The 20470-nt window shown below is 50.1% G+C and overlaps 1 protein-coding gene across 2 annotated transcripts in view, besides 3 other annotated features; it reads right to left on the reverse strand.

Annotated features, from left to right (window-relative positions):
* Positions 4755-5094: an enhancer, noted in NCBI's record as "active region_4121". NCBI's record gives its function as "activates an Ori minimal core promoter by ATAC-STARR-seq in GM12878 lymphoblastoid cells {active_cell/tissue: GM12878}" and the evidence as "EXISTENCE:reporter gene assay evidence [ECO:0000049][PMID:35858748]".
* Positions 8175-20470, reverse strand: part of RGS10 (regulator of G protein signaling 10) — a 42903-nt gene continuing 30607 nt past the window's right edge. For both annotated transcript variants that reach the window (NM_001005339.2, NM_002925.4), the window contains exon 5: positions 8175-8617. In NM_001005339.2, coding sequence (NP_001005339.1) covers positions 8471-8617 — 147 coding nt within the window. In that variant the 3' untranslated portion in view covers positions 8175-8470. The remainder of the gene's footprint in view (positions 8618-20470) is intronic.
* Positions 18171-18672: an enhancer, noted in NCBI's record as "H3K4me1 hESC enhancer chr10:121269325-121269826 (GRCh37/hg19 assembly coordinates)". NCBI's record gives its function as "activates a minimal SCP1, AML or CMV promoter by ChIP-STARR-seq in primed H9 embryonic stem cells {active_cell/tissue: H9 hESC(primed)}" and the evidence as "EXISTENCE:reporter gene assay evidence [ECO:0000049][PMID:30033119]".
* Positions 18673-19172: an enhancer, noted in NCBI's record as "H3K4me1 hESC enhancer chr10:121269827-121270326 (GRCh37/hg19 assembly coordinates)". NCBI's record gives its function as "activates a minimal SCP1, AML or CMV promoter by ChIP-STARR-seq in primed H9 embryonic stem cells {active_cell/tissue: H9 hESC(primed)}" and the evidence as "EXISTENCE:reporter gene assay evidence [ECO:0000049][PMID:30033119]".

Raw genomic sequence — 20470 nt, forward strand, 5'->3', positions numbered from 1 at the left:
ACACCTGTAATCCCAGCTACTCGGGAGGCTGAGGCAGGAGAATTGCTTGAACCCAGAAGCAGAGGTTGCAGTGAGCGAAGAGTGCACTGCTGCCCTCCAGTCTGGGTGACAGAGCATGACTCCATCTCAAAAATAATAATAATGATGATGATAGTTGACAGAGGTTCTTTTAGTGCTAAGGTTCTGGGGAAACCTGCAAATTTAGTAAAGGTGGACCCACATTTTCATGTTTTCAGGTCATGATGAGTGACCTCGCTCCTTTAGGAAAAAAGAGAGAAATATTCCCTTTGGGAGGCACAGGGACAGCCTCCTGGGAGATCAGAGTCTCGCCTCTGCCTCTGCAATCAGCCAGGATCTGTAGACACAGATATTTATGAGGCAGTCTGCGGTGCTCTATTTCTTCCCCCATTCTTATGGGGGTGAGAGGGGCAGAAGGAGACCAAAAGCCACATACTTGCAAAGTCATCCTTCCTCTGGAGACCAAGAAGCAGCAGATTCTTTTCCTGGGAAACAAGTCTATCAGGCAGACATCTGTTACTCTTTGCGATCTGTATGCCATAACAGTTTAAAAAACAGAGTTTAAATGCTTAAAGAAGAAGAAAACAGTTTGCCTGTGTTGCAAAGCAGCATATAAACGGTGCTGGAATTAGCACAAGGGAAACATTTATCTTTCCTAGATAATCTCAAAACAGGCCTTTTTTTTTGGATTGTATATAATTATGTTTATTGGCATGGAAAGATGCTCATGATATATCACTAAAGGAAAAACAAAAAACAAAAAACAAAACTGGTTGCAAACACAAACTAGGCTTTTTAAAGAAGCATTGACTCTGCCTCCCTGGCTGGGGCCGGGGCCCTCTGTGTATCCCATAGAGGAAAGGGTAGAATGGGCCAAGACTGGCTGGGTAGTAGCCTTCTTCCTGGGAGAACAGAGACAGAGTCACATTTTCCAGCAGGAATGACCAAAGATTTGCCTGAGCTGGATAAGCCCAGCCTGGTGTAGTGATGGATGGTGGGCTCTGGGGATCCAAAAGACCTGGGTTCCAGTCCTAGCCCCACTATGAGTCGTGGTGACCTAGTGCAGTTTCAATGCTGCTGGAGCTCACTTCTCCACTGACACAGTGGAAGTCACATCTCCTGCACACAGGGGAGGTGCTCATGAAAGGGTGGGCTTCTCTCCCTCCAATCTGTGTTTTTTTTATTGTTTTTTTTTTTTTTGAGATGGAGTCTCACTGTGTCTCCCAGGCTGGAGTGCAGTAGCACAATCTTGGCTCACTGCAACCTCTGCCTGCTAGGTTCAAGCAATTCTCCTGCCTCAGCCTCCCAAGTAGCTGGGATTACAGACATCCACCACCACGCCCGGCTAATTTTTGTATTTTTAGTAGAGACGGGGTTTCACCATGTTGACTAGGCTGGTCTAGAACTCCTGACGTCAAGTGATCTGCCCGTCTCAGTCTCCTAAAATGCTGGGATTACAGGAATGAGCCACTGCGCCCGGCCTCCAATCTGTGTTTTTATGACAAAGGCATGGATTGGCCATGAGCAATGGGCAGCCCTGGGGTGGCAGGCTGTGAATGAGGGGGAAGGGGCTGCCTCGAGGGGTTCGGTCCCCTCCTCAGGAGCTAACACACAGCCTGAGACCTGAAGGATGAGAAGGAGCCGGCCACACCAGGGTCTGGAGGAAGCCACTCTGCGCATTGGCCGTGGCCCACGCAAAGGCTGCGGGAAGCAACATCCTGCCTTGCTTCCGGTCGGCTTCAGGCCTGTGAGGCTGGGAAGGGCCAGTCGTGGAGGATGGAGGGTGAGGTGGGACTGAGCTACATGTCCCGGGCCTTGGTTATGATCTGAATTTTGATGTTGAGAACAAGAAAAAGACACAAAAGGGGCTTAAGAAGAGTGAGCAGCATGACCAGGTTTGTTCTTTTAAAAAACTGGATACTAGGCCAGACGCGATGGCTCACACCTGTAATCCCGGCACTCTAGGAGGCCAAGGCTGGAGGATCGCTTAGGGTGAGGAGTTCAAGACCAGCCTGGGCAACATAGGGAGACCCCCATCTATACAAAAAAAAAAAAAAATATATATATATATATATATATTATATACACACACACATACACACACACACACACACACACACACACACATATATATAACAAATTAGCCAGGTGTGGTGGTGTGTGCCTATAGCACCAGCTACTCAGGAGGCTGAGGTGGGAGGATCACTGGAGCCCAGGGGTTTGAGGCTGCAGTGAGCTATGATCACACCACTGCCCTCCAGCCTGGGCAACAGAGTGAGACCATGTCTCTTAAAAAAAAAAAAAGAAGGATACTAGATGAAGATGAGGAGCAGGGGTGTGGCGTGAGGAGGACAGACCAGCTAGGAGGAGGAGCCTCTGGGCAAGAGATGAGGTGACCTGGTCAGGGCCCGTGGCCATGGAGATGGCAGGCATGGACACGGTGAAGCTATATTTTGGAGAAGAATCTAGAGGACTTTCTGATGATCAGATGTCGAAGTGCAGGACAGAGGAGACTCTCAGGCCACTTCCAGCTGCCCCTACCCAGTGGCCTTGTGGGAATCAGGAAAAGGGCTCCTCTAAACAAGCATGCAGCACAGGGCACCCGTGCAAGACCCTCACCCTGAGACCCTCCCTTGCAAGTGCGAAGTTGCTCAAGCCCCTGATTCTCACTCAGAGACCTGGTCAATTTTGGACTTGCAAAGCTTGTAGTGTCTGTGGCAATCCAAGGGGAGCCCTGGGCTCTGCCCAAGGTTTAGGGACCATTTCAACACAGTGATTCTACCCCTGGCTCCAGCTGTGTGTGAAGTTTCTTCCCTCCCTGCCTGGGCACCAGACTTTTTACAGTACTCACTGCATTGGACGCAACTAACCTTGTGAAGAAAAGAGTTTTTAAAACCCTGGAAGCTAATGTTACAAGACTATTTAGCACTTAAATAAATGCAAGTTCTAGAACATCTGCAGCCAAAATGAAAGTAAATAATGACAGAATGTGAGTCATGAGTAGTTTGCAAAGATTGTAAACAAAGCATCCTCCCAAATTCAGAGCCATGGCCTGAGAGTTGGGTACCAATTAATCAGCCCTTAACTCTATCACACACAAAAGGACACGTGTCCTCATTAGCAAGTCATGAGGGGAACTTAGCTAACTGACTGTCACTTTGCTATCTGGAGTTCACTTAAAACTGAAATAAAAAGCTTATTCCCTGAAGAACAGAGCACTCATGCTCACATTGTTTGAAAGAATCACTTCACTGCCAGTGTCAACATGAAACTTAACATCCTGATATTTATGGGAAAGGCAAAACAACCCCGCTCGTAAACTGAAGAGATGAGCCCAACCACCCAGGCATGTCCCATCAGTCCCTCTCCCAGGGGCTGGTCACTTTCTTTCTGATGGCAGTTGTTGGTGCAGACTTCATGTCCTCTCCTAGCCAATTGCTCTCCAAGGGCAGGGTTAATGCCTCATTCTTTCATCCCCCTACATTCCTGTGTCTAGTATTTGGCCTGGATGTAATAGGTGCACATTAAATATCTGTTGTGTGAGTGGATGAGCATCTTTCCCAAAAGGCCAATGTTCACTCCAGCCCTGGACTTCCCGAAGGCCCTGTCCAGGCAGAGGATGGACCAAAAAGGGAGCTGGGTAGGAGACAGAAGGTTTGGCTCCTGTCCCAGACTCTGCCACTCACAAGCATGTGCTCATGTGAGCCACGTCATCCATTTTGGTGTTCCCATCTCTAAAACAGGAGGAATAGCTGTCCCCCCACTTTTTAAGGGTTTGCGATGACGCGATGGGAAAGAAGCACTTGGAAAGGGGTTCCACAAGTGTGATGTGGTTCCCCTCACACCTCAGAGGGGAGTTCTGCAATTGAGAAGGCGGGGCAGTGGAGGACCACGGTTAGACATGGTGTGCAACTTACTCTCAGAAAGCCAGCAGGTAAGCAGAGTGGATTTGGAGGTATAATGAATGACTGCAAAGTCACAGAAGACAAGGCCACCCAGGCTGTGCTCTCTGCACATGGGAACTAGAAATCAGAGTACAAAATATGGAGCCAGCAGATAACACAAATATGGGAGTGGCCTGCTGTAAGGCAATAGGGAATGGTGGGGCCTGCAGCCAACTAGAGATTACAATCATGCTCTGCTTCAGGCATTTGCAAAAAGATTTAAAACTTACACCCCATGAAACAGCAAAACGCATCTATGGCCTGCTGGCTGGGAGTCTGAGACCCCTGCAGATGGCTGTATCAAGCATGTCTTTTTTTTTTTCAAATGGAGTCTCGCTCTGTGGCCCAGACTGGGTGCAGTGCCACAATCTCAGCTCACTGCAACCTCTGCCTCCCAGGTTCCAGTGATTCTCCTGCCTGAGGCTCCCCAGTAGCTGGGATTACAGGTGTGCGCCACCACACCGGCTAATTTTTGTATTTTTAGTAGAGACGGAGTTTCACCACGTTGGCCAGGCTGGTCTCAAACTCCTGACTTTAGGTGATCCGCCCGCCCCAACCTCCCAAAGTGCTGGGATTACAGGCGTGAGCCACCATGCTGGGTCTCTAGCACGTCTTTTTATTCCAATGCTCACTTGGGGCCTTGCTGACACTGGAGAGACTGCCCCTCCCGGGCAGGGCCCCCTAATTCCTAGAGATAGTAAACAACTAGGGTGTACCTTTAATATGCAAAGCAACCAATCCAGAGCATGTAACCCAGATGCCTCCTTGATCAGACTCTCACACTGGGGGCCATGACCCATCTGCCCTAAGCACCTCACGGGCTGGCCAGACAACTAGGGACAGTCCCTATACCCCAGAGCCTGCTGAAATGACTCAAACCAGCCCGTCCGAAGCCTGTTTACCCTGCTTGCCTTTTCCAAAGAAACCACAGTAGAGGCTCTTGCCCACATTTTCCCTCTGGGCTGCCTCCTGACCCTGGTGCTTCCCCCACGTGGCCCTGCATGACTATCGCATGCCACCTCAGCTTAGGAACTGCGAGCAACAAACTCTCTCCAGTGGCAGTTGTCTCCTGACTGTTGGCCTCATTAGGCCTGAATAGTAAGAAAACCTGTATTTTCATACATCTGTAAACCCCACCGGAGCACAGATCATCATTGCTGCTTTATTTCCCCCTGTGAATCTCGGCACCTAGCACAGTCTCTGGCACGTTGAAAACACAATTTCTTTCTCTTTCTTTCTTTTTTCTTTCTTTCTTTCTCTCTCTCTCTCCCTCTCTCCCCACCCCGCCCCCCCCGCCCCCTCTCTCTTTCTTTCTTTTTTAAGCCAGAGTTTTGCTCTGTTGCCCAGGCTGGAGAGCAGCTCACTGCAACCTTCGCCTCCCGGATTCAAGCGATTCTCCTGCCTCTACCTCCTGAGTAGCTGAATTACTGGCATGCGCCATCATGCCCAGCTAATATTTGTATTTTTAGTAGAGACAGAGTTTCACCATGTTGGCCAGGCTGGTCTCAAGCTTCTGACCTCAGGTGATCCACCTGCCTCGGCCTCCCAAAGCGCTGGGATTACAGGTGTGAGCCGCCACACCCAGCCAAAGATACAATTTCAACGCTAATCGATGAATGGATGGGCATAGGGACGAAAGCAAAGGGCTGGGTAGAAGCATCTGTTTGGCTACGCGGGTCCCTACACTTCAGCCTCACATTTGCAATTGCTTCAGGACACTAAATTCTGCATATGCCTCATTTCTGCGACTGGCATAGACGTAGGCAATCAGGCAGGAGCAAGCCAGAGGGAGTGGCATAAGTTCACGCTAGTAGGAGTAAATGGTGATTAAACTCTGAGGCTCACCACCCTGCTGGCATTCAGCTCTTCAGGCAGCTCCTAAGTGGGGGCGGGCGGAAGGCTTTTCTTTTAATGTCCGATCTTCTGGCTAACTCTGGCTATTTGCTTTATTCAAACTCTTAAAAAGAGATGGTCATCTCAAAGAGTCTCTGCACCCATTGATAAAAGGGGAAAAGTCAGAGAGCAGCCTCCTCGCCCACCTTCAGTCTCTGGGACCTGCCCACAACAGGCTCTTCCAAAGGGAGTCAATCAGGTCGCCATGAAGCCTCCCTACGTCTGCAATGGTGCAGTGGGCTGTCCCCACATCCCTGAATAACCGAACTGCATCCGGTTAATAAACCGAAAGCTGAGCTAGAGAACCTGTGTTGTTTTTCATCTTTACTCTTTAAAATGCATCAATCTAGCCAGGCGCGGTGGCTCACACCTGTAATCCCAGCACTTTGGAAGGCTGAGGGGGGCAGATCACTTGAAGGCAGGAGTTCGAGACCAGCCTGGCCAACATGGTGAAAACCCGACTCTACTAAAAATGCAAAAATTAGCTGGGCATGATAGTGGGTGCCTGTAATTCCAGCTACTTGGGAGGCTGAGGCACAAGAATCGCTTGAACCTGGGAGGCGGAGGTTGCAGTGACCTGAGATCATGCCACTGCACTCCAGCCTGGGAGACAGAGTGAGACTCCATCTCAAAAAATAAAAAATAGGCCTGGCGCGGTGGCTCATGCCTGTAATCCCAGCACTTTGGGAGGCCGAGGCAGGAGGATCACGAGGTCAGGAATTTGAGACTAGCCTGACCAACATGGTCAAACCCCGTCTCTACTAAAAATACAAAAATTAGCCAGGCATGGTGGTGCATGCCTGTAATCCCAGCTAATCAGGAGGCTGAGGCAGAAGAATCGCTTTAACCCATGAGGCATAGGTTGCAGTGAGCCAAGATCATGCCACTGCACTCCAGCCTGGGCAACAGAGCGACACTCTGTCTCAAAAATAAATAATAAATGCACCAATCTGCTCTGCTTGACAATGAACTGAATTTCTCTGATCACGGGGCCCTTGTGTGTCATTCTCAGCATAACCGTCTCCTTCCTAAGTTCTGGAAATAGGCAGAGAGAAGACAGGCGCAGAGTAGGCCTGTCTGGGAAGTACCTGAGGAGGGTGGAGAAGCCTGTGTTTGCTGTTTCTGATGAATGTTGTTGGGTTATTTAGTGCTTGGCAGTGAACGGTTCCCTGAAGACCATCCCTTTCCCAGGCCCTGGATGGAAGGGCAGGAAACATTTGACCACAGTGTCTAGACAGCGAGGCTAGGGAATCTGGGGGGCTGCCCAGGAGCTCATATGGGGGACAGCCATCAGTAGGGTAACTGACCCAGACTAGAACCAGATTAGGGCTTGTAATAGGCATTATCCTAGTCTAATTATTGAGATCACCCCCTCTTTTCTCCCAAAAGTGTCCTAGTTTGATTGATAAATTATACAGCCACCTTCAACATTAGTGAATTTTGCAAACAGGAAAGTCTGAGTTGGGAGGCTCACACGCAACAGAAGCTGGTCACTTTGTACAAATAGAAAGGGCTTAGCAAACATCCTGGAAAAGGCCTGGTGGCAGCACCCAACCCCCTACAAATAGCAGGAACAATTCACCAAAGGGAACTGAGCCTGACCTTGGCCCTGGTGGGCTCTGCTCTAAAAGTGGAGTTCCTGGGCTGGCGGGGACAGCCTGGCCCAAGCGTGCCCCGCCTGGCCCAAGCGTGCCCCATTCACAGCCTCCTCACCCAAGAAGGGCAGGCTTCAAGGCAGCATTTCTTTTCCCCGTTGAAGTCTCAAGCCAGAGTTAGCAAGTTCAGCAAAGGGCAGGAGCAGAGAGGAAAGGATTATGATGTGTCCCCGATGGGTACAGGAGAAGGGAACAGCCCCACCAACTCCAACCTCAGTACGCACCTGTGCTACAATCCCATTCAACAACACCTTGAGTTGCCATGGGGACCCTGAACAATTTCCCACTTGTGTTTTTTTTCCTTCCTGGTTGAGATCTTGTTTCTGTCAAGATGAACTATTTATCTGTGTTGCATGAAATGTCATGGGTTGTGGTCAAAACCAGGACCAACCCACGCACAAGAAATAATAACCCTTTGATGACACTCACACACAAGCTTCCCAAGTCTTTAGAGGCTGTCAGTGATTCATTTTCTTTTTCCAGCACTGAACTTGCTCTCGAGAAATATTTAACCCAAAAGGCGACTGGCAGGCCATACCCCCAGTAGCCTGGGTTTGCCGGATCAACTCATGTTTGAGTTAATTTACCAAGTGACCTGTGGACATGCGTCCACTCACCAGAGAGGCAGAGCAAACACTTACAAGGTAAAAGGTAGTGTGATACGTTTCACCTTGTGGCCTTACATGAGGTTTAATTAAGCTACAAAATGCTCGACGTGTCCAGTGTTGAAGGAATCTCTGTTTTGTAAACTAAAACTTCCAAGTTATTATTATTCTTTTTTTATGTTAGCTTAGCCATCATGCAAAATTTACTGGTGAAGCAGTTAATAAAACACACATCCCATTGAAGGGTTTTGTACATTTCAGTCCTTACAAATAACAAAGCAATGATAAACCCGGCACGGTCCTGAGAGGAAATTCCTTTGCTTCTTAAAGCTGCCAGTCCCGGCTTTTTGGGGGCTCATGTGTTATAAATTCTGGAAGCTCTTTTAGCTGCAGTTTGAGCATCAGGCAAATCTTCTTCCTCTTCCTCGGTTCGCTTGTGTTTTAAAAACAAGTCAGACTTTAAGAAGCGGCTGTAGCTGTCGTACTTCATGAGATTAAAGATCTAAGGAGGAAAAGAAAAAAGAGTCTGAAGGCTGAGGCTAATCCAGGCCATAAATCATCCCATCAGATATGTATTAATACCTACCATGTGCCAAAGAATACTAACATGTGCAAAGAACACACTAAGAAAGCTCAAATAAGTCATCTGCTAGACAAGGCAGATTTCCTGGAGATTTTTGGTCATTATGCAATAATCTCAATGGAATATATAGACAGTCACATGAACAAATATGCCTTTATTTTCCACGGAAATATAGATTCACACAGCACTGATTCAGACCCTTGTACCAAGAAGTCCTTCAAGACTCTCCACTTTATTTGCCTAGATAAGACAAGGATGTATTTCTCCAAGAGCTTGAGACAGCCGAATAGAAACCATTTCTGTAGAGACAGTGGTGTTAAAAAGATCACTGACATATCATATGATGCCAGCATTGTTAAGACTCCCAGTAAGTCTGGCATCCGAGATCTCAAACAAACCTATTATTGTACCAGGAGTCAAAATGAGGCGTGCTCACTGCAGGGCAGGGCAGCAAAACTATAATCTTAGCAAGGGAACAGGTCCCAAATAAAGAATAGAGCAGCCAGCTGCAGAATGCCAACATCTGTGCCATCAGACAGGCTGGGGAGCACATCCCTAGAATGAAACAACTCTAAGGTATGTCAGGTGAGCGAAGAGGACACCCGACAGAGCTGAAGTGCCCCAGATTAGACGGCTGCCCCCGCCGGCATGGCAGGTGCTCAGAGGGCTGTCCCCAGGCACAGTAGCTTCCTCTGGCCGCCACTGAACCTCTTTTCTGGGCCACAGTCCTTGTGACCAGCATTCATTCTCCCCCACTGCTACCCAATCCTGTGCCATCTGCCCTCCTCCCTTGCCCCAGGAAAGGGGCAGAGAAAGAGAAGCACAAAGCCTTTTCCAGCTGTCAAGGGCTATGATCTCTTTCCCACCCCTCATTTCTCTCTCTCTCAGACCTTTCCACTTAACTCGCAGTACACTCTGCAACTAAAAATCCACATGGTTCACCCTGGTACACGGAACAACCAAGTGGAAAGTTCCAGAGATGTCTAGAATGTCACTGACTGCCAGGCGGGGTTGTCAAGTGGATGGTAAAACCCTGACATCTTTTAAGGCTGCCCTCTCCCAACACACATACACTATTTTGTAAATTAAACATCTGAGGGTGCTGGGGGCGGTGGCTCACACCTGTAATCCCAGCACTTTGGGAGGTGGAGGCAGGTGGATCACTTGAGGTCAGGAGTTCAAGACCAGCCTGGCCAATATGGTGAAACCCCGTCTCTACTAAAAATACAAAAATTAGCCGAGCGTGGTGGCACACACCTGTAGTCCCAGCTATTCAGGAGGCTGAGGCCAAAGAATCACTTGAACCCAGGAGGCAAAGGCTGCAGTGAGCTGAGATCACACCACTGCACTCCAGCCTGGGCAACAGAGTGAGACTCTGTCTCAAAAAAAAAGAAATAAAATAAAAATTAAAAATAAAACAAACATCTGAGGGACTCAAAGGACTCAGAACATCTGCTTGGAGGATGGGAGGTGCTTCAGGAGGGAACTGGAACCCTCAAATTTTACACCTTCATCTTCCCAAGATGGCTTCAACCACAGCAGAACTGCCTGAGTCACTGTGCTATAAACAGAGTCCACAACCCAGAGAAAGACCTGGGACTTTAGGTTTTCTTTAAACTGTTAAACTAGCGCCTGCCCATCCCCTGGTGCCCTTCTAGTCTTGCCCGAGTCCTCCAGCTGCTCAGCAAGACCCTGCCTCCTTAAGCCCCTGTCCTGTGCCACACTAGAGCAGTCATCTATCTTGTAGCCATCCTGTAATTCCAGGTGTGATTGTAATTTGCTGAGGTTTACAGAAAAAAAAAACAAACTTTTTTTTAATCCCAGAAAATACAAAAATCATAGCCAGGGCTGAGGTGGGGGATGAGAAACGCCATTACTCCTTCATGGCCTCCCACCGACGTGCTAAGCAAGCGTCACCATCTGCCTTATTCAGCCCTTCCAGGCACAAGAGTCCCCAAGGGGAAACTTTCAGAGGCTCACCTAGTTCAAAGTCTGCAATGAACGCTCAAATGTGACTAATGAAACCAGTTGCACGAAGGTCCCACCTGGCACCCAGCCTCAGTCCTGTACCCACTCCCACCCCAGGTCCACGCAGATGGGACCCACCACTCTAAGCAGGATGCGGTGCGACCCAAGCGTCTCGTGTGAAGTCTGCATGTGGGAGAGGAACATCCTGTTTGCCTGTAGTGGCTCTGAGGCTCAGACTTCAAAGTAGAGAAGAAAAAAGGCCGGTGCTGGGGGCACCCAGGGCAGAGGAGGAGGGGGAGGGAAGGAGGCTGCTTCGGCTGGGAGGAAGCTCAGGGGCTGCACCGGGCTGGCAGGACTCGACCCCGAGATCCCGAGATCCCAAGGCTGCCAGCAAGCCTGAGGGGAGGGGGCTGCGAACTATTTATTAAGAGCATAAGGGCCACTCCCTACTGGGGCAGGTGTGAAATGCCCCACGAGTGCAGAAGTCCCTCAGGCAGAGGTTTCCTCCTCTGAGAGCCCTTGCCCATCTCCCGTGCTGCTGCAGTGACTGGGAGGCAGCTGTGGCTGTTGGACCCAGACAGGCTGGAGAAAGGAGAGGATGTCGCCCCCAAAGCCCTCGTGCGCCTGGGCTGTGGGAAGCCTGATTGCTTTACATGGGGTGCACGGGCAGACTTCTGACTGCCACCGGCCAACGACCCCCTGGGCCTGGCTCAGGAGCACACAGCAACAGGGTGCTCCTGGGACGGGGCTCAGCAAAGGTGACTTAGAGGATGGAGAATGCAACTAAGGCCGGGTGCGGTGGCTCATGCCTGAAACTCCAGCACTTTGGGAGGCTGAGGCGGGCGGATAGCAAAATCCTGTCTCTACTAAAAATATAAAAATTAGCAGGGCTTGGTGGCACCCACCTGTAGTCCCAGCTACTAAGGAGGCTGAGGTGGGAGGATCACCTAAGCCCGCGGAGGTTGAGGCTGCAGTGAGCTAAGATCACGCCACTGCACTCCATCCTGGGTGATAGAGCCAGACCCTGTCTCAAAAAAAAAAAAAAAAGAGAATGCACCTAAAACTTTCTTCCAAGAAAGTGGCCAGAGATCGTGTGCCCAGCTACTGGCCAGAGCCTCATCTATCACAGGGAAAAGAGCTGTGACTGGGGCCCAGTAAGTGTTTACCAGTGGCTGAAGAGAAATCGTGCGCTGTGCAGCAGCAGAGGCTGGGGAAATGAACCCGGCTAGTACCAACGCGGCTGCAGTGCCCTCCAGCCCTGCGCTGGGCAGCGTGTGGGCATTCTTTCATTCAGTTCTCCCTCCAGCGCTCTGAAGACCCCCATTTGACAGAGGAAGAAACGAGGGGCTTAGGGGTTCCTCACAGTTCTGGAGGCTAGAAGTCCAAGTCAAGGTGCCATCAGGGTTGGTTTCTCCTGAGGCCGCTGTCCTCGGCTCGTAGACCACACCTTCTCCCTGCGTCTTCACAGGGTCTCCCCGGTGCACGTGTGTCCTTACCTCCTCTTCTCACAAGGACACTAGTCAGATTGGGTTAGAGCTCACCTCAATGTCCTTGTTTAATGTTAATTACCCCTTTAAAGCCCTATCTCCAAATAAAGTCACATTCTGGGGATTAGGACTTCAACATATGGATTAGGGAGGGGAGCACAGTTCAGCCCATAACAGTGAGCAAAAGAGAAGGGCGGAAGGCCAGCCCTGGCAGGCTCTGCAGCCCCCACTCCCAACCATGAGGCCATCTGCCACTCGCATGGCAGGACAATAAAAACGAGGGCTGCAAAGAGAGTAACATGGAAAACTGCCCGTGAATGTTAAATGACTGATACTAAATTTTAAAAACACACCCTATCTAAAAACAATGATCCCAAATACGTTCTTTTTTGTTGTTGTTGTTTGCTTTTTTGAGATGGAGTCCCACTCTGTCACCCAGGCTGGAGTGCAGTGGCACGATCTTGGCTCACTGCAAACTCCGCCTCCTGGGTTCAAGCGATTCTCCTGCTTCTGCCTCCTGAGTAGCTGTGATTACAGGTGTGCGCCACCACACCCAGCTAAGTAGAGACGGGGTTTCACCACATTGACCAGGCTGGTCTCAAACTCCTGACCTCAGGTGATCCACCCTCCTAGGCCTCCCAAAGTGCCGGGATTACAGGCATGAGCCACCACGCCCGGCTCCAAATACATTCTTTAAGAGTGTATCCATGTGTCTAAGTGAGAAACAATATGTCCCCAAAGGTCAGTAGTGGGGTGAATGGTGTTCCCCCAAACTTACATTCACCTCGAATCTCAGAATGGACCTCATTTGAAAAGAGGGTTGCATAAGGGTCTCAAAATAAAATCATACTGCATTTAGGGTAGGCCCTAAATCCAGGGACTGGGTGTCCTTATCAGAAGAGGAGGGGACACACTGAGGGAAGAAGGCGTGTGAAGGCAGAGGGAGACATCGGTGATGCAGCCACGTGCCAAGGAGCGCTAAGGAGTGCCGGCAGCCACCAGCAGTCTGTAAGCTGAAGGGGCAAGTAAGCACCCCCCACACCCTCTCGCCACCACCCACCAGAGTCTTGTGGAGAACAGGGCCCTGCCAACACCTTGATGTCATATTTTCAATCCGTTTCTGCTGAGCGAATACGTTTCTGCTGTTTGAAGCCACTTGACTTGGGGTCATTGCTTATGACAGTCCAAGGAGGCTCATCCAGTTGGCTTGTTGATTTCACCTCACCCCGGCTCAAACACAGAAAATGAGATGGGCCTAGGGGTCCCAGACAGTTCCAACAAGCAGGGATCCCTGAGGGGGAGACATGACCTCACCAGGTTTGGACTGTGATGGGCACCTGAACAACACGGTCAGACTCCTTAAGGGTCCACAAGGCAGAGAAAGAAGAAAATGGAGCTATCTGGGCTAAGCAGGAGGCCGCAGGTGAGTGGAAGACACGGGAACAGAGCTGAGGCCACCATCCGTCCAACAAACGGCTGCTGGTGAAGCGGAAAACTCAAGTTGGCGGCTGAGCTGCATTCTGCATCTTTTTTTTTTTTTTTTTTTTTTTTTGGCCAAGACAGCTGCGGCTTAGCAAGCTTTGGGGTTTTGGCAGCCCCACATCTGCAAGCTGCACGCCTGGACTGTAAACTGTTTAGCATCGTTGCCTTGGGATCCAATCCTACAGGCTGCTGGAAGTGAGACTCGGACAAAAATGAGGAGGGAGGCTTCCTGCAGATGTGCAACTCTGCACAACCGTCCTGCAGAACAAGGTCTTTATATCACCAAGCCACCTCCTCTCCAGATCCCAGACATTGCCATGGCTGAGCAGGATTTGCCTTCCTGAAAGAAAAATATCCATGCAGTGCCCCAACTTCAGACTGTTCCAAATGTGCCGCTCCAGGAAAGGACGTCCCCCTGACGCATACTCATCTGTGCAGAAACGAGGACCTCAACCAGCCTTGAAGGCCCCTCTGTGAATATTGCGTCACTGTCTCCATTCATTGCGTTTCAAGCCTAATAAATATTTTAACACTTCTCAGAAGACAAGTACAGAAGACCTAAACAAAACATGCATCCTCTCTTCTCTTCAAAACCCTCTGCCATTTTATTTTAATCCAGCACAGGAGGAAAAAAATCATTCCTTAAGGCAATGAAAGTTTAATTAGCGGGATATCATATCTGCTTTAAGAACTTGGTTTCGCTTGTATATGAAAATCGCTGAAAGAAGGTGGAAGCACCGCCGTCTCTGAATTGCGGCTCTAGAATGCGTCCTCTCTTCACACACATGGACTACAGACGTGCTTTTGTACCCACGCGAGGAGACAGAAAGGGGGAAGAAAGGAAGCTCCTGTCCCTCCAGCCCTCAGAAGTGGCTGGGCATTGACGAGGCTGTCGGGGCAAGGCGCAAACAGGGATGTGCCTACCCCCTAAAGTGAAGACCACCTCCCTCTCAAGTGGGAACGGGCTGCACCCAGGAGGAGGTCTGAGGGCAGCTGGCAGACAGCAGATGAGCAGACGAAGCAGCTCAAGTCAGCCCTTGCCCCAGAGCGCCAGGACGGGCCACACAGAAGGCTCTGTCGCCTTGCACGGCTCTCCAGCTTCACGACAGACCAGCCAGAGATGGACAGTGTGCCAGGGGTGGGATTGGAACTCCAGAAGGAGTCTGGACACCAGCGGGATCAGAGAGACCTCGCTTGGACGATATCCCCTCCCAAGCTCACGGGTTCACGCGTGTGGCGGTCACACGTGTGGAGCGGATTGTCCGCTTTTTTCTACCGTCCACACGATTCAAATTCCAGGCCCAAATGACATGACTCACTTTCTGCTGGGGGTGAAGGCATTTTAATTTTGCCTTTTGCCATCGGAAGGGGAGTTGAATGCTCCTCTGAGTGCCACTCTCCCCTCCTCTTCCCCCAAATACTTTTATTTATTTATTTTTTTTGAGACGGAGTCTCACTCTGTCGCCAGGCTGGAGTGCAGCGGCGCGATCTCAGCTCACCGCAACCTCCAACTCCCTGATTCAAGCAACTCTCCTGCCTCAGCCTCCCAAGTAGCTGGAATTACAGGCACGTGCCACCACACCCAGCTAATTTTTGTATTTTTAGTAGAGACGGGGTTTCACCATGTTAGCCAGGCTGGTCTCAATCTCTTGACTTTGTCATCCTCCCGCCTCAGCCACCCAAAGTGCTGGGATTACAGGCGTGAGCCACCATGCCCAGCACCAAATACCATTTTAAAGTTGCAAGAAACATCTCAAAGTATCTCGAATACTGCCCTTCCCATCCTGACCCTCGTGAGGCAGATGGCTACGGTGTACACAGACAGCCAACCTCCCTTCTGTTTGAACAAAAAACCACACCTGCCCTTTCTAGCGGAGCATGCTGGAAAATACCCATTTCTTCCCTGCATTTGATCTTTTGGAGCAAATGTCACCTGGCACCCATAAGACTGACACATCCTAAGTCCCTGGCTCTGGCCACCACCACAGCCTCTGCCACCACCCAGGAGAGGGGACCATGGTCATGCAGGGGCACTCAGGCCAAGGTCCTGTTTGGAGAAATAATGGGGCAAGGGAGAGAATGGGCCCCCAAATGACTGCCACAGGCCGGACAGCCCCTCTCTCACCCTCCGAGGCCCTCAATAGCTGGCCCACCCCTCTTACTTACGTTGAAAAAGGAAGCATTTTTCCCCTCTTACGTTCTGGGAAAACTCAAAGAAACTGCATTGCTAAAAAGGGACCCCATTCATGGCTCCTTTCTCTGTCAAGGATGTGGCTGGGAGCACTAGCATCTCACCCAAGGCTTTTTTTTTTTTTTTTTTTTTTTGAGACAGAGTCTCACTCTGTTGCCCAGGCTGGAGTGCTGTGGCATGATCTCAGCTCAGTGCAACCTCTCCCTTCCAGGTTCAATTGATTCTCCCGACCCAGACTCCCAAGTAGCTGGGATTATAGGCACATGCAACCATGTCCGGCTACTTTTTGTATTTTTAGTAGAGACGGGGTTTCACCACGTTGGCCAGGCTGGTCTCAAACTCCTGACCTCAGGTGATCCGCCCACCTCAGCCTCCCAAACTGCTGGTTTTCCATTTTTTTTGTAAGCACCAGAGGCTGAGGACTTCTTTTTGAGTGGAGAAGGCCACCTCATCTCTGCTTTTCCAGGCTAGAGTTTAGCACCAGATCCAAAGCCTCGGGAAGGCACCCTAGCAGACGCAAACTCTGCTTGTGTATTTATTTATTTTGAGACAGAGTTTCGCTCTTGTCACCTAGGCTGGAGTGCAATGGCACGATCTCGGCTCACTGCAACCTCCACCTCCCGGGTTCAAGCGATTTTCCTGCCTCAGCCTCCTGAGTAGCTGAGAATACAGGCGTGCACCACCATGTCCGGCTAATTTTTTTGTATTATTCGTAGAGACGAAGTTTCACCATGTTGGCCAGGCTAGTCTCGAACTCCTGAACTCAGCTAATCCACCCGCCTCGGCCTCCCAAAGTGCTGGGATTATAGGCATGAGCCACTGTGCCCGGCCCAAAATCTGCTTTTAAGTGTAGGCATGGGGACCCCTGATATTCATGGAAGAAGAATGAGCACCCCACAACCCCAAACCCATGCCCTTCTCTTCCATGGACTGAGAAAGCCACGAAGCTGCCATGTGCAATGATCTGGACCTTTCTATCTTCATCAAGCTCATGGCTGTTCCAGACCATGCTGCGCTGTATATAGAACTTAAACCAAAGGCTTCTGAGCAAGAAAGGTGTGTAAACTGGGGCTAAGAAATGTGCCAGAGGAGAATTTTGTTTTAAATCTTTCATATGGAACAACTTTAAGTCACTGAGCAGACTTCAATGTGTTCCATTCTTCAATGTTTGAGTACAGCCTGAAAGGACCAATAACGTCATCGATTTCCTGCTAAGAAGAGAGAAGGAGCGGCAGGACTGGGGGATCTTAACTTTTCACTTCATACCCACCTGGACACATGAATTTTCTTTTCTTTATCTTAACAATAAGCATGTACTAATTCAATAACTTAAGATAATTTTAGGCCAGACACTGTGGCTCACACCTGTAATCACAGCAGCACTTTAGGAAGCCAAGGCTGGAGGATTGCTTGAGCCCAGGAGTTCAAGACCGGCCTGGGCAACATAGTAAGACCCCATCCCTAGAAAAATATATTTTAAAAATTAGCCAAGTGTGGTGGCACATGCCTATAGTCCCAGCTACTCAGCAGTCTAAGGTTAGAGGATGGATCGAGCCTGGGAGGTCAAGGCTACAGTGAGCCATGATGGTGCCACTGTATTCCAGCCTCGATGACAGAGGGAGACCCAGTATAAAAAAAATTAAAATAGGCAGGGCGCAGTGGTTCATGCCTGTAATCCCAGCACTTTGGGAGGCTGAGGTGGGCAGATCACTTGAGGTCAGGAGTTCATAAATACCTTATTATTATAACCTCCACTTCACAAATGAGAAAAGCTAGGCACGGAGAGGGAGCAAGTCTTGTCCACAATCTCACAGTAACTAAATTCTAAAGTGAAAGAAGGCCGGGCACAGTGGCTTATGCCTCCAATCCCAACACTTTGGGAGGTCAAGATGGGAGGATTGCTTGAGGCCAGGAGTTTGAGACCAGCCTGGGCAACATAGTGAGACCCCATCTTTACAAAAAATTAAAAAAAAAAATCTGAGCATGTTGACGCTCGCCTGTAGTATCAGCTACTTGGGAGGCTGAGGTGGGAGGATTGCTTGAGCCCAGGAGGTCAAGGCTACAGTGAGCCAAGATCACACCACTGTACTCCAGCCTGGGTGACAGAGTGAGACCCTGCCTCAAAAATATATATATAAATAAAGTCAAAGAAGTTGGGGTAGGGGCAGCAGGGGGAGTCAGATCTAAGGAAATAAGGCTGTAGTTATCAGTGACTTTTTAACACCAGGGCATTGAACGCTCATAGACTGCTTGGCAGCGCAGCTCAGAGAGGTAGCAGAGTATTTGCCCAAAGCCCCATGTTACAGATGGGGACTCAGAAGCCACAGTAAGAAACAGAACCCTCCTGGGGTCAGACAGCGGCAGGGCTGGACTAGAATCCCCCACTTCTGCCTCTGGTGCTCAGGGCCAAGCTCATGCATGCACTGTGATAACAGTGATGAATCTGGCATCTCCATATCCAGGGAGTGATGGGCAGGGGGAGAGGGGGAAGGGGGGAGAGGGGAGGGGCAGAGCTCAGGCCACTCCCACTCACCATACAAATGGTGAGCCACAGTCAGGAGGTCAGGGTTTCACGGCTGACTTTCTAATAACGGAGCTGGCTCTGCACCAAGCCATCCGCCTTCTCTTGCCCAACTGGTATGGGACGGGCACAGCCCTGAACTAGGGACCTGAGCCAAGGGGCTCAGGCTGTAAGAGGTCCAAGCCTTACCAGCCCAACCAGCACATTCTATAAACAGCCACTGTTCACATCCCTGCAATTAAACTGTCTACCACAGCCTCGGGGCCTGACCCAGCCAGTCCCTCCCAACTGAACTTTCACCACCCCCTCATGTGCTACATTCCTACAATGCTGACCCCCTAACGCACCTGCTGCCCCTGCCTCGGGGCCTTTGCGCTCACCTCTCCTTGGAAGGTCCCGGCTCCCAGGTCCTCTCATCCAGATCCCGCTTGCCATTCAGATCCCAGTCACCTCTCCAGGGAGCCCTCCTTGAGCACAGACCCTAGCAGGCCTCTTCCAGTACCTCTCAGCTCATCCCCTGTTGCATTTCCTTCTTAGCATTGATCTTTCTCTGCCCTCCGTGTGGGGGCAGATGCTGATTTCCCTGTTGTACACACAGTTCCTAGCACAGTCCCTGGTACAGAGTAGGGCCTCAGTTCATAATTGCAGCATAAAGGAATGAATAAAACAACAAATCCACAAACCAGCAGACCAACAAGGACTGAATCAAAACTCCTAGGAATAGATATTTTTGTTTATTTGTTTTTTGAGATGGAGTCTCGCTCTGTTACCCAGGCTAGAGTTGAATGGTGCAATCTCGGCTCACTGCAACCTCTGCCTCCTGGGTTCACGCCATTCTCCTGCCTCAGCCTCCCGAGTAGCTGGGACTACAGGCGCCCACCACCACACTTGGCTAATTTTTTGTATTTTTAGTAGAGACGGAGTTTCACCGTGTTAGCTAGGATGGTCTCGATCTCCTGACCTTGTGATCTGCCCGCCTCGGCCTCCCAAAGTGCTGGGATTACAGGTGTGAGCCACCACGCCCGGCCGTAATACATGTTTTTAAAGAAGAAAAGACACTGTAAGGAACTGCAATTCCCTGAAGAAACCACCTCTTTGTAAGGTAACCCCCTTCCTTCCTGCTTCCTCCAACTTAAATTTGTCCAACGGCAGCCTTTGACTCTAGGCTAACGTACTAGGGAAATGCCCACAGCACCACCTTTCGCCTCTCCTGGCTTTGCCTCCAAAGGGCTGGGCACACCAAGCTTGCAGAACTGAATTAAATCAGAGAACCATCTCGCCACTTACATGAATTTCCCAGGTAGCAAAGCTTTAAGCCCCTCAAGCTTCTCTTAGGATGCCTTTGGCTGGACACAGTAGTAGCTCACACCTGTAATCCCAGTACTTTGGGAGGCCGAGGTGGGTGGATCACTTGAGGCCAGGAGTTTGAGACCAACCTGGACAACATGGAGAAATGCCATCTCTACTAAAAATACAAAAATTAGCCTAGCCTGGTGACATACGCCTGTAATCCCAGCTACTCAGGAGGCTGAGGTAGGAGAATCGCTTGAATCCAGGAGGCAGAGGCTGCAGTGAGCAGAGATGGCACCATTGTACTCCAGCCTGGGTGACAGAACAGGACTGTCTCCAAAAAAAATGTTTTTGATGAAGTGCTCATTAAAATGAATAATGCACTCTTCACATAATACGCCGACCTCAATTTCACTTCTACTTGATGGTTTGGGGTCACCAGGCTCACTTATCATGTCACTGTCCCACAGCACAGGGATGCCCATGGTGCGGCGTGTGGCAATGGAGGTCCCCACGCCCAGGCTCAGGCCTCGGTGCTGTGCTTGTACTCAGTGTCATTTCTGTGTCCTCCCTAGCTGTCAGTGATCACCTCTTGCTGCTCATCACTCCATAGTCTCTACCACAACTTCAAATCTGCTATGAATGGAAAAACCTGTTAGAACTGTGTGCAAACCAAGAATAAACAGGACCTGACTGAAAACTCTTGAAGCTCTCCTTTAAACAGGGTGCATGGGAGTTGGCTCATCTAGCCTGGGGCTCAGGGAAGATTTTCCCGTTCTTCTAGGTTCCAGCGGTGCCCTACAAAGTCAGAGCTGCCCTACTAGAAGCTCAGA

This window comes from Homo sapiens, chromosome 10 (genome assembly GCF_000001405.40).
Source record: "Homo sapiens chromosome 10, GRCh38.p14 Primary Assembly".
Lineage (NCBI taxonomy): Eukaryota > Metazoa > Chordata > Mammalia > Primates > Hominidae > Homo > Homo sapiens.